Raw genomic sequence first — 14,667 nt, 5'->3', positions numbered from 1 at the left:
TTTTAAAAGTACACCATTTATCATTTGGATAATTATACAATGCCAGCACAATGCATGTGTGTACAAGCATCATCTCAGATGATGATTGTAGGAAAGTCCTTAGGTAGAGGAATATATCTAGCAGAGCGCTGGAACTGGATCTTACTGGCTTGTAAGACCCCAGTGTGCACATCTCTTTCCAGCTCCACACAGGACATCATGCTGGAAATTGGCCACGGTGTGAATATTTACACCATGGAAATTGACAAACCTTTTAAAAATCCTGTCTCCCCCCACCAAAGGGCCAGTTGTTGAACATTTACCTGGGCACCCTTAGTGTATTCGTATCTCCCTCCATTCTTTCATGTCTGCTTAAGTTTGCTTAACTCCTACAGCCTTTCCTGAAAAGTGCTTACCAGCCAAAGAGGTTTCTAATTCACATTCTACCTTGCCGTCTCCAAACCTTGTTATTGCCAAGATTTACTTCCCATGTGGTTACCTGGCTTCTCACTATTAACTGACTCTACTCTAGGACTTTTTGCCTCCATTACTGACTGGCAGTGAATGAATGGGTCATTCTGGTGTGTGTTGTTATCCTTGCAACCTGTGCTTTAATAACTACCTCTCTTTATTAGAACCTAAGTGCAAAGGCTAAAGGGCATAGATGATACAATCTAAGCCAACCTCATTACACACAATTCAAATTTAATTCTGTTAGAAACATTTCAGCAGTAGAAATTCTATAAACAGGAGCAGAGGAGCTCCATGGATAGCCATGTGGGCCTGTGGCTCTAGGAGAGTGATTTTTCTCGTTGGGGAACTCATTTCCTAGAAGCTTGGATCCAGGAGAGAATATGCAAGGTGGGTGGAGGTGGCTTCTCTCCATTCTGTGGGAACACATGTTCCCTGGCACGGAGAGGAAAATCTGACAGACCAAAATGTGAGTGTGTGTGTGTGTGTGTGTGCGCGCGCGCGTGCGTGTGTGTGTAGATCCATATACATAGAGCTGAAAATAAAAGTGATCTATTTCCTCTCAAAAAAGATTAAGTTATTTCAAAAGGAAAGGAAATATATATTATTAGCAGTATGAGTGTAAGCCCACTTGAGAAGCCCATGCAGTCTTTGTGTGTGTGCCCAAACGTGCACACATGTTTCAAGCTTTCGGGGTAGCTTGGACCTTCCAGGCGTGAGGATTATGAAACTGGAGGGAAGGTGGGGATAGCTGCAAAGGTGAAGCTAAAATGCATCACAAGGTCAGAACTAGAATAAACATGAAATTACCATGAAAAGTGAAATTGGACTAAAGACCTTGTCACCACTGACTCGCAGGAGAACAGGAGCAGTTGGTGCTGTTCTTTCTCAATATGCACAGAGGCCCTTTCCCCTCGCGTTTCCTGCTGTAATGCAAAACCACTTTTCGGGAAAAATAGTGTGTGGCAGACTGAAGCCAGGGGAAAGAAACGAAAGATATTCTGTGGGGTGATAAATGCCTCTAGGCCAAAAATAGAAGAGGTACTACCTGGTAGGAATAGAAGCAAGAATCAATTTGAATTTTACCTAATGGAGCTTAGCTCTTTGAATAAAGAATGCCTACTTGTCCACTACTTGCCATGTTAGCTTTTTCCAGCAGAGGGCAGACTTTACATTGAAATAGATCTAAAAAGGCCTTCAACCTCTTGCTTTATTTATTTATTTTTTTTGGTTTGAATATTTTAAAGTTCAATATTTTTGGTTTCTAAATGATTTAAAAATATTTTAAAGTATTTAAGGTCTAGAGTATGTTAAATAAGAAATTTCTTGGATTTCAGTTAATATTTCTGCCTTATTAGCAAAATACTCAAGATGTGATTGCAAAATAAGGCTTTTTTTTTCCATGGCTTTTGGGCTGGTCTTAGGCACTTGCTGTCATTGTAGGCAAGGCTGTTCTTTTTTGTGTTGTTTACAAAATTATGAAAGAAAATCCTATCTCTTAACTGGATGGTTATAATTTTCATTCATTCCAATAGCTTTTGATATAAATAACTGCTTTTCTTTAACAGTTCAATTACTACCATCTTCTAATCTGTTTCATAGTTAGCTTTGATATTTTCCCTAGAGGAAATGACACCTATATAAAACTTAACTAAACTTATTATACAATATAACTTCAATATTCAAAGCCCTTTTAATGAGAATTTAAAATTTGTTTCTCTTCGAGTTTCATTTTCTTGGTCTAACCGAATCATTCTCACAATAAGTGAGAAAATAGAGACTACTATCTCTCTCTATATATTTTTTAAAACAGAAGGTTAATTTGCTTGTAAGTCGTGGCTACGTTCGATCTGGAGACTTATCTGTTGGACTCCAAAGCACAAATTTTTTTCATAGCAAGGCCTGCCTCCAATTAACTCCATGCGATCTACTTATAAAATCATAAACGCAGGACTTTATTCATTAGGACTTAAATCCAGACTGACATAGTTTGAAAAATACAAAGAACAAAACAAGATAAACCTAAATAAATCAATTTCAGAAATTCTTGGCATTTAAACTCAATAGGTCGGTTTAATTTTGGCTTCACGCAAACACTTTCTTGATCTCACTTTTTTGGGAGTGTGTGTGTGTTTGTGTGTAATACGGTTTTTAAAGTGAATGCAGGAGGAAGATCTCTGGGGAAGGCATTCTCCCTATTATAAGAAATACAATATATTTTCTTTTATTATTAAATTTTACTTATATTTCTATGAAAGCAAAAACGTATATCAAAATGCATAAGAATTTGCTGCCTAGGAAACAAAATTATTTTTATGTGGAGAAACTGAAGATTTATATACCCTTAAAATGACAAAGAAATCGAGCTCCATATATTCACTTTCATTTTCATAATAATCTCTACAGGATTACTGCAATTAATTTTATGTAACGAGAACAGAGGTGTTCTTTTTATTTGAGTGCAGAAAAAAGTTTAAAAAGAGGTGTGGACACTTAAATGTAAAGTTAGTGAAAATCTATCAATGAAACCAGAAATGTTAGCAAAGCAAAATCATCTCTCTAAGTTCTTTTCTTGGAAAGATAAGCTCTGTTTCAAGATGGATAGAAATGTGACAATACAATGAAAATGTCTCTTGCTGTTGAAAAACACCACCACCACAGCTCTTAATTCAGTTAACACTGTGTTTACAAAACTTCACCCAAATCATCAGCCATGCTTAGTGTTAGCGGAAAAAGCACTGGAACACTGGACTTGGATTCAGAAATGAGGATTCTGCCCCACTGTAGCTGTGTGATCTGGATATATCAGTTAACCTCTCAGCGCCTTGGTTTCTCACCTATGAAACAGGAGATAATATGTATCTACCACACAGAATGTTGAGAGATTAAAATGAAATTTACATTACATCTGTGAAAACTCTGAGTTCAGTGTCTTCCTGACACATTGGTGATTGGTTTGTTAGATCAAAATAATCCAGATAATAGACTTTATTAATAATACCCTATTTTGGGTAGCAACTTTTAAAACAATTCATCAATTATTCGTGCACATTGCATAAATAGCTCCCTCCCAAAACTTACGGATGTTAGAACAAAGCTTGGGAGAAATCTTGACTCTACATGTAGATGAAGTAGGTTTAAGATTAAAGTTTAACTGCTAGTGATTAGAAAATGAAGTGGAAATCAAATATAATTTTCATTTTTATTATACTTGGAAAATTTAATGATACAGTCTTAGATTTTAGATATTTGTTAGTATTTTTTCAGTAATTTTGGTATTCTCTTCAGTTCTCAATATTACATTTAAAACAGCAAATGAAAAGCATGTCAAAATTCACTTTTTTGCCTCAAAAATCTTAGCCTATATTTCTAGATCTAGAATTACTCTTGCAATGACATTTTCCCCATCTCATTTTACACCTTGCCTTTTCCTTACAAATCATATTCTCTTTTCATCAGTACATCTGCCCAAAACGCTCTTCTACTTGACAGTTCTATCCCACATTCGCCTCTGAGCTTCTAACAAGACATACCTCTGGGAATTGCGAGGTGCCATATTTTAAATCTCTCAGTGAGATATACAGGTTTTCCCGTGTGATCATAAGGGATTCCTCAAATCTGAGTTTTAGAACTAATCTGCGACAACTGATAAGCACAGTATTTTCACATTAGTATATTTATGTTGTGCTAATATACTTAAACAGTATGTATGTCCATTGAGAATTTTTCTACAAATTTCTTATCAGCTTACTTTTAATTTTTAAGAAAGATACCTTACATATTTGATTGGCATTGGCTGTAATTCTGTTATAGCTCTTAAACTAAATAGGCTCATCCAAATTGGATGGGAGATGTAAATGTCACAGATTCTCAGTGGAATACTAGTCAGCAATAAAAAGGAACAAATTAGTAATACACACAACAACGTAGATGAATCACAATTACTATAAACTAAGTTTTAAAAGACAGACATAAAGGCTACATATTGCATGAATCCATTCATATGACATCCTGGAAAAGGAAAAACTATTGGAACAGAAACCAGATCAGTGGTTGCCACTGGTTGTCTGATGTGGAACAGAAACCAGATTAGATAACCAGAGGGATTTACTACAAAGAGGCTTGAGGAGACTTTTGGGGTGCTGGAAATACCTTAACTGTGATGGTAGTTGCGTAACTGTATACATATGTCAACCTCTTCAAAGTTGCAAAACTGTATACATTTGTCAAACTTCTCAAACTATAAACATAAAAAGTAATCTTTTTAGTAAGTAAATTATATCTTAATATAGCTGACTTGAAAAAATTAACTACTTAAGGAAAAAGGAAATATTTGCAGTTTTGAGTTGTATATCATCTCTTTTCAGAGAAGTTTTATTAAAACATACTATGTGTCTATTTTTTCATCCATTTTTATTTCCAGCCATAAATATGACACTCAGACTAGTTTTAAATAGCTAAGAGCTACCTCATTGGTGTGTTAAGAGGCTTTAGGATGAAATATTATCTAAGTATAAATATTATAAAATATTTTTAATTAAAAGAAGAACATTATCTAATGGAACTCCTATCCTAAGAATATATCATTTCTTGATTTTTATTTCATTTTCTAATTGCCAGCAATTAAAGTCCTGTGCCAAGAGCTTGTTGTACCTAATATTACTTAAAGATTATCAAGGGCTGTGAAGTAAGTGGGATTAGCCTCACTTTAAAACAAGGGGAACTTGTTAGGTTCAGAGCAAAGTGAATAGCAAATTTTGCAAGTCCTTCTGATTCCAAAGCCAATATTAGTAACCACCATTGCTTTATTTTTACCAGTTTAACGATAGTTCTGGTGCTTGAGGATGAGGTTGTGTAAGTGTTTGGAAATAAACTGTAAGAAAAGAATTCTTCTCTGAGGGAAAGAAGGTTTTCAAAAAGAATTGATCCTGAGTTCTGAAAACAGAATGTCAGGATTCATAAATGAAGGATGTGCACTGCTATTCATCCATATTAACCATAACTCTTTGATAGAGGCTTAATCTAATTATAGTAAAGAAAAACAGTTATTTCCAACCTCACATGAGCTTCTAGTACAACTGTGATGCCAGGCTTTAGTGATATTCTTTTTGAACAAATTCTCTTTGAGATTTTACATCTATGTTTATCACCAAACTATCATTTTCATAACTGATCAGTAGATCCAGGTACTTTATTAATTTTTGTACTTTATTAATTCCCTATCATTTTAAATGAAAAGACCTCAAAGGTTTCTATGTATTATTTTTTGTTTAAAAGACATATCAAACCTAAATAGTGTTTTCTTGGGCAACATTTACATGTAGAAGGGCAATAAAAGTTATAAACCCTTAGGAATTTGCTTTAGCTCTCATACTGGATGTGTAGTACTTTAAGTAGGTAATATGTATTTGAATCACTACCCAGCAGCTGCTCATCCATAGTGGATTTTTCTTAATGTAGCCTGCCAGAAGCGCTTACCTTTTATTCATAATTGTCTGGGTGTGCCTTCCCCACTTGAATTGAACTGTATGTACTGTGTGCTGTAGAGGTGTGCAGTTAAAATACGTTTATTCTCAGAAATATTTTAAAAATATTTTAAAATGTTTTCCTTTGCAGAATCAGACACAAGTTTGGCAGAAGGAAGTGTCAGCTGCTTAGATGAAAGTCTTGGACATAACAGCAACATGGGCAGTGATTCAGGCACCATGGGAAGTGATTCAGGTACTGCCTAACTGTTGTGTAAACCTTAAAAAGTGTGAAATAAGACGCCATATAGTGGAAGCATGGGGGCTGTTCATACCCTCCCTAATGTATTTATGCAATTAAAGCAATTCTTTTCTACAGTGAAATAGTTTTGGAACTTTGCCATTCACTTTCTTTAAAAGTGTAACTTACAAACTCTTAGAACCAAACTCTCTAATTTTGATCCAGTACATATCTTTCTGGTCTGGCATATGCCACATTCCATAGAGTCATGTCATCTATTTTATTTATGGGATCTGTTTCAATTAATTTGACTGCATTTAAATAGACTGTATTCAATTTGGTACATTTATTTACTTCCAAATTCTACTTTTTAAATTAAAATACTTTTTAAATAAAAAATTGATACTATCAATAAGAGAAGTATGACTAACTAGAAATTACATATGTAAGTAAAAGAAGTCAAGTTTGTATAAGTATCTTTTGAATAGGAGTAGAGTTGGCAAAATATTTCGGTCACTAAATGAAAATTTTACCAGGTTTTTCCCAAATTACTTTCAATATCAGTTGTATATTCCACCAGCAATAAATGAGAGTGCCTCTTCCTAATTCCCCACACCTTAATTATTACTTCCTGTTATCAGTTTTCCAATTTGTTAGTCTGATAGATTTCAAATTGTTTCTTTCTTTTCTTTGAGTGTATATTTCCATGATGACTACTAAGCTAAAATGTTAACATTATTAAATGTAGGTGATGGGTTAGTGGGTTTCTATTACATACCTTTCTATATTTGCCTACCTGTTTGAAGTATTTCACAATTAAAATGAACAAATCACAAACAAAAATAAAATGCTTTGCAAGGGGCCAGCTAAGAAGCATTGGAAAAATGATAAATTAAGAAACACATTACTTTATTCTTCATTTGTGATTGAGTTGTTTCCCCTAAGAATATATTATATAATTCAGATTATCCTGCATTGTCAGAAGAATTATAAAAATTGATATCCACAAGAGGCCTAAGGTGGCAAAATAGTTTATAGAAAGATTGTCATCAATCCTAAATGCTTTCCAAATTAGATTGTAGCACCTCTTTTTTCATATATCCTTTTATCACAATGACACTCCTGAATCCCTTAGAACAAATTAGTTTGAGGAAACCCAATTCACCAAATGTCATTCACAACTTTAATCTTCATTTAAAAGGGTGAATTCATTTTCTGTTCAATTCAGTCAGTGTTTATTGAGTTCTTGCCATGTGCTTATTTCTGTGGATTATATTTGTTTTTTCTATCCTTGTCATAAAATTGTTCAATTTAATAATTAACATTTCTATTACATGCTATGCTAGAACTCAAAATAGATAATCTAGCTAATATTTAACATCATTATAGGTTGTTTTAAGTTTTTGGAGATCATGCTAATTTTCATTTGTCTAAGTAAGGGCTTTTCAATAATATCCATTCATTCAATAAATATTTAATGTGTACCTTCTATGTGCAGGGCATCTTGCCTATTTAGAGCTGTTAACAAATGTATTTGCTGATTTTTAGTCCTCAATGTGGCATGAAACACATGATAAGTCTGAACGCAATCTACTTTTGAAAAGCAAATACATTTTCAAAGGCAAATACATATTTGAAGACAAACACATCAGAACGAACACCACTTGAAGTTCTAGATGGATCAGTACTTAGGAGCAAAGAATTACTTTGCCTAGTGGGTAGTCAATTTCCGAAATGGTAAAATTATGAAATTCCTTGCCCACAAGTGCCTGGTATAAGCTAAAATAGAAACCAATTCAAAAGGAGGTTTAGATAAATTGGTGAACTGTTAAACACATATTGAGGCACTGAAAAGTATTATAGAATTTGCAATTGTGTTTTAATCTTTGAAGTTGACATCAAAAGGGACTTCATTCTATATGTCCTTCCTCCTCCTCCAGAGGTCATATATGGGCCATAAGGTGTGACCCAAAACAATCATATTATATTCCTTTGTGGAAGTGTTATGCCATAGTAGACATGATTACCGGTACTTTTAAAGTATAAATATTCTAATTATATTATGAGAGGCTTTTTTTTTTCTGTTTCCCATTTTCAGAAAGATATATTGCCTCTCAAAAAGTGGCAATGTTTTTGGCAATACATATTGGCCTGATATGTAGAAAGTGTTTCCTTACTATTTCAAGATAATGCCTATTAATATTTGTCCAGCTGGAATGGTGTATTTTTCTGTGGTTACATACCATAGGTAAAGGAATACTTTGTAGATTTCAAACACATGCAGTGACAGACCTTTTCTCTCCAAGAATAACTCAGCTGTCAAAATCAATGTGAGAATGAAATTTGCCACATGGTGTAGTTCCAATAGAATATTATTATTTAAGCCTTATTTGATTTTCTTTTTTGACCATTTATATGGTAGAATATAATTTTAAGGTCTTTAATCAATACTTGTTGTAGAGGGAGGGCACAGTGTTATTCAAAGCTTGTGCATATTTTAACTGCTATTTTCATTTAATTGATTATGCTTTTCAGAGAAAGCCAAAAACAAACAAACAACAAACAATCAAAAACCCAAACATTTCTTTTATAAAGGAAATTGGCTCCTGGCTCATTGATACCAGCCCAGTTCTCTCCTTCTGCTGACACAGAAGAGAAAACTCTCTTTTCATTGCTTCTGTGGATAAATTCTTCCATCCCTGTGTCAGAGGATGTGATAAGGCAAGAATCAGGCTGAATATTTAGCACTCACCCAGCTTTTATTCTTTGGATGCTAGTCTCACATTGAATCCAACTCTAATTTTTTCCTGTATCCACACTGTGCTTCTTTTTAAACTTAGGGCCACCTATCAAATCTCCTAGTCTTAAATCAAAAATATGGAAGATTATTGAGCTATCTGTCTAACCAGGTATTTTTGTGTGCATAACAGCGGTATAGTGTCCTAGACTCTAAAGTCCTTCAGGACAACAACTATATTATTGAGAGTGCCTGGCATATAATAGGTGTCCAGTCAATATTGACTGAAGAATAAATTTGTGGTACATGCCTACTTAAGTAGCAGTAAAACCTCATGACTTCAGTTCTGAAGTTAAATTGTAAACACAATAGTCCTTTTAACATTCTCGCTCTTCTTAAATGTATCAGCTTAATAAATGATTAGAATGCATGAGTAATATTAATATTTTACTCATTTGATTTGGTTCTGGATTCTCGGGAAAGAGACTTAGGAAATTGCTATATCTTTCTCTTTGTAATATTTCTTATTCAAGGATATAGTAGTAAGCATGAAAAATGGGGGAAATTATTATTAAAATGTACTCTTTTAATAGTTTATTCTGCAACTATTATGAAGGAAGGAGCATTTTATTAGTATTCTTAAAATCTACGCAAAAATGAAACTCAGATGAAATTAAACAAAGAGGATTTATTCCTATATTTTAACAAACTTCCTAGATCAAACAAAAATTTAGCAGTAGTAAATTTCTGGGTCTTTGTTTAGACACTTTATAATGCATCTTCCTTTGCAAATATACTGGCTCTTTTGGAAAAGTTAGATGACAAACTATCCTAATAGAGGTGAAATATCATGGTTTTGATAGTCTATGAAAGCTACAGAGGGCTAACATTGTTCTTAAATAAATCAGAGCCTTACATAAATATAATACAAGATGAACTATTGTAAATATTGTAGAGTTCAAAACAAGCATGGAAACTTATAAAGGTATATTTTAAATGCTGGTGATTTTAAATGAGTTTTTCATAAAAATCATATTGAATGAATCAGCAGATGATCCAACGATAGCTTAAATGTATTGCATCTGTTTTTACTCATCCATACAAAAGGCAAATTTCCTGCCAGGTTAGTAGATGATCCTAAGTGGTATTTGGTGTGAATTTTCCTACCTGTTCAGATAGTACTATCACAACAAGTTAAAACTCACTCAAATAGAATTATCCAGGGGCTGAAATGGAGCCATCAGCAAGTTTTTTGAAGTTAATGGGATTATGTTAGTTTAGTTTTATTGCAAACATTGATAAGAAAAAGAAGTTATTTCATGTGTGATGAAATATGGATAAATACTGTTATTTCATTTTTTCTTCTTATTATATAAGTCATAAAATGGGCTTTTAAATTGGTATAATATTTATGTTACTTCATTTCACATTATAAGCTATGCATTTTTTGATCTTTTTCCCCTGGTAATATAGGTCAATATGGTCACTTCTAAATAAAATATATTCTATCTAAAACAAGACATATTATAATAATTTTATTTTAATATACATAAAGTTTATGTTAGAACTTATTTTATCAGTATTTTAAATTTAAAATCCATGTTAATTGAAAATATTTTTAATATATTATACTTTGGATTTTAGAAAAAGTTGGAATATGTGGAGCCATAAACATAAGGAAGTAATAAAGATAACAATTCACAAATAAATGGCAAAAGTAGTCATGATTTAGTTTAAACCAACAAAATTATTTTTACCTTTCAAGGAAAACCTACCAATTAAAGGCTAGCATAGGAAGAGTTTTTTCCTCTACTCTCTAAATAACACTTCTGTACAACGTAGTTGCCTCAGATGGAAAAAGGAACTTGAGATAGATAGGGTGTCTGTGTGTGTGTGTGTGTGTGTGTGTGTGTGTGTGTGTGTGCTTTTTGGTATTTGGTTGTCAGATAAAGTTTCTACAAACGAAAGAAAATAGTATCAGCCATAATACCTTCTTTGCAATTAAAAAAAGGGGAAATACGGAATTGGGAGGACTAATGATTCCAACTTTCTCAGCTCCTCTTGATTTTGTAGGTGGAAGGGCTAAGTGAAACAAGCAGGGCATAGTGGCTCCACAAAGAAATGGGAAGTCTGATGCCTTAACAACTAGACCTGCCAATCCCGCACCACAGCCCTTTCTACAAATTCGCCTTGGCTTCACCCACTCTGTGAAAACACTCCCCCATGTTGCTCCTTCCAGTCCTCTTAATTAGTTGACTCCCTCTGCACCCCCACACCCCCAGACTCCTTCTGTGAGAGGGAGCCTGTGTTGTATTCTGCAGATGCAGAGAGCAGACATTAATTGGTACAGAAAAGAGAAAATGAATTGGTTTGGACCACATGTGAAAAGGAGTTTAAAGCACAAGAGGCCTACGTTCAGTTTCAGGCTTCCTAAGCTCTGTTATTTTGTTGTCCCTTCTCTTATTTTTCTTTTCAACCTTCTTCAGATGAAGAGAATGTGGCAGCAAGAGCATCCCCGGAGCCAGAACTCCAGCTCAGGCCTTACCAAATGGAAGTTGCCCAGCCAGCCTTGGAAGGGAAGAATATCATCATCTGCCTCCCTACAGGGAGTGGAAAAACCAGAGTGGCTGTTTACATTGCCAAGGATCACTTAGACAAGAAGAAAAAAGCATCTGAGCCTGGAAAAGTTATAGTTCTTGTCAATAAGGTATTCAAAGAACACATAACACTAGTTGATCATTTTCATTGTATTATTCTGAAACTTTTATATGATGGCATTTGTGTCATTGACTCACACATGTTTAGTTTAATTAAGAGTAATGTCAAAATAAGCTCTTTATTTTATCTTTAATCTTTTTTAGGTATATGTAATATCTAAGTGATGAACCTGAAAATAGAAATTTTTCAATAAAACTAGGACATTATACCAAATAGCTATAACTTATGTAGCCCCAACACCTGGGAGTTAGTTTTGATTCATCTGCTTCCTTTATTTCCCTTATCTGGTCACAGGTTATATTTACCCAGATATACTTTAAGGTTAACTAGCTAATTTATCATTGCAAATGAATATGAATGACCCCAAAATATCACTGGAATCAAGGATCAAATATTGTTTTTTACTTTCTCTTTAGCTGTTGACCCTTAGTCAAAGATGGCAAGTCCTCTTTCTCCAGAATACATATAATGTGGTTTGGAGATAAAATTAAGTGAAGGTTTGGTATCTACATCAAGTTAAATAGATTTTAAAATGCTCAAGAAGTATACATATATATATATAAAATATACACATATTACATTAAATGCAACTGAAGTTTTCCTTCAATAATTTATATCTTAGGGTATTTGAAGGCCATCTTCATAAGTAAATATGTCTGCTTCACCGTAAAACAAAATCTAGTCATTTGAGCTTTATTCAGATAAATGACAGTTTATTAATTTATAAATATACAAATTGGGGATATGAATATTTACTATTTTATGGAATAAAAATGAGCATACTTTTCCTTGATCAGAAAGTCTTTTTTCTGTTCTTATCTATTCCTTTATAAAAAAAAGCAGTAGACTGTAAAATATTCTATTTTTTATTTCTATTATGCTAAAAGTTTTAGTTACATCCTGTTTTTCAGTACTTAGAATCCATGATTTGAATGATTCCTATCATGTAGTTCCAAATGCATTTTGTGTGCATCTGCTAAGTCCAAAGAGCTCTCCTTTATACTTGTATACTTACTATTAAAACACTTTTATTTATTTTGCTGGTAATGGTGACACATTCAAATTTGTTTGCCGATAGACTTGCATATGTATTCCCTTTGTACAGGATATTATTTTTTTAAATGAAATAGGTTTGAATCCTATTTCTACCTACCGGTACTTTGAATTAGACAAATTAGTAACTTCTCTAACTTTAATTTCTTCATCTGCAAAATGAACAAAATAATAACTACCCTGCTCTGAAATTTCAATTGGATTATATATGGCCTAGTAATGACTCCTGCTTTTACTCTTAAATACTAGCTTTCTCCTGCTCCTTTCTCTTCACCTTCATAACTCATGAAACTAAGTAACATAACCAGGGAGGCTTTTAAGTGCCAAATCCAAAGAAAAGAACCAAGTTAACTGGATTCAAAGCTACTTAAACTGATAATTTTGAAACCATTTGAGCATCTGCCATTTTCTCAAACTCAGCCTCACCATCTACCCTCCCAAAGGCTCCTCTTCCCCATTTACCTGTCTCTTTGTGAGTAATACCACCTCCTCCAAAGCATGCAGCCCCCACACCTAGGAGTTAGTTTTAATTCATCTACTTCCTTTATTTCCCTTATCTGGTCACAGGGACATAGGCTAATAGAGTTGAAAAGGGGCTTCGAGATTCAGCTTTCTTCCTTTGCAGAGTGGTTCTCTCACTTCTGCAGGGTAACTTCCTAATATCAAGGAGGTCCCCCTACTAACAAGACACTGACACTCTTAGAAAGCCCTATTTGTATTCATCCAAATCTGTTTCTCTGGAATCCCACAATCACCGGTTAGAGTTCCTTCCTCTGCAACCACACGAAGTCCTAATTCTCCAGCCTAATGACAGCCCTTCACATAGACAAGGCAGCATCATGTGGCTCCTAAGTTACTTTTTTTTGTTGTTCCTTGGAATAAATGTCCACAGTTCCTTTAACTGTTTTCCATATAACATGGTTTCTAAACCTGTCATCATTCCTAGTGCTCATACTCCTTCAGACATTTTTCTGGGACACTCTTAAATGCGGTGTCCAGAGTTGGGCAAAATACTACAGATAAGATCATACCAGTGCAGAGCGTAGGAGACATGAGATATGACACCCAGCTTATGACCGCATTTGCCTCTGGCATCCACAGACTTATCTGGACCTTGTCATAGAATCAAAATCCTCAGTTCCTTTTTATTTGAAAATCTCTTAAACTAGAACATTCTTAATTTATTTTTGTGCAGTCAGTTTCTGAGCCTAAATTCAAATACTTAGGTTTATTTCTTTAACTATTGATCTTTTCAAGTCTCATATTTTTGTATGTGTCTGATGCATCTTCCTTTCTATAATATTCCCTTCTCTTCTCAATGCTATATTCTAGCCAGGAATCTTTCATTGCATTGGATCTACATGATTCTTCGGAATGCACATTTATGGCTATGTTTAAATATTAATTTATCCTCATTAATTATTCACATTCACTGCATTGTTGTGTGGACACCTGGGGACTTGACTCTAATTCCTTATTGCTTTTCTATTGTTTTTCTCCTTAGAATTACTAGAAATCCCTCCACTAATTCTTCCATCTATGTCATAATTGTTTACTATACCATCTTTTTGAATTTTAAATTAATTTCAGTTTTAATTCTTTTTGATTGAGTCAGAACACCTCTGGCCCAGTAAGTCTAAGTAACCTGAATCTTGTGTTTGGCCCAACAACAAGGTATTGTTACCCTTGATCTAGAAAAAAGAAATCCTGTTCTCTAACACCATTTACTTTCATCTCCCTTCCTCCGTCCTTTCCAAAGTTATAGCCTTCGAATGCAGAGAGAAATGAAAACACCACCTGTGTTCCCAGACTTTCCATTTCCTATCTAGGGCTTCAACATCATGAGAGATAAATCCCAGGTTCCTTCAGATGCTGCAATGCAGCCCCATATGATTCAGCAGAAGTGGGTAGCAGTTGGGTTTGATTAGTCTTGGCAGGCACTCTGTCACATCTCAAGAAAAGGCTCCAAGAGGACCACACACCTCCCAATTAGCCATGTCAGA

General features: G+C 34.2%; 1 protein-coding gene across 2 annotated transcripts in view; it reads left to right on the top strand.

Annotated features, from left to right (window-relative positions):
- IFIH1 (interferon induced with helicase C domain 1) overlaps positions 1–14,667 on the top strand; it is a 51,611-nt gene that overhangs the window by 18,950 nt on the left and 17,994 nt on the right. For both annotated transcript variants that reach the window (NM_022168.4, XM_047445407.1), the window contains 2 exons: positions 6,067–6,171; positions 11,380–11,600. In NM_022168.4, coding sequence (NP_071451.2) covers positions 6,067–6,171; positions 11,380–11,600 — 326 coding nt within the window. The remainder of the gene's footprint in view (positions 1–6,066; positions 6,172–11,379; positions 11,601–14,667) is intronic.

This window comes from Homo sapiens, chromosome 2 (assembly GCF_000001405.40).
Source record: "Homo sapiens chromosome 2, GRCh38.p14 Primary Assembly".
Classification (NCBI taxonomy): domain Eukaryota; kingdom Metazoa; phylum Chordata; class Mammalia; order Primates; family Hominidae; genus Homo; species Homo sapiens.
Note: the sequence above shows the minus strand (reverse complement) of the source record. Positions and strands in the feature narration are given on the sequence as shown.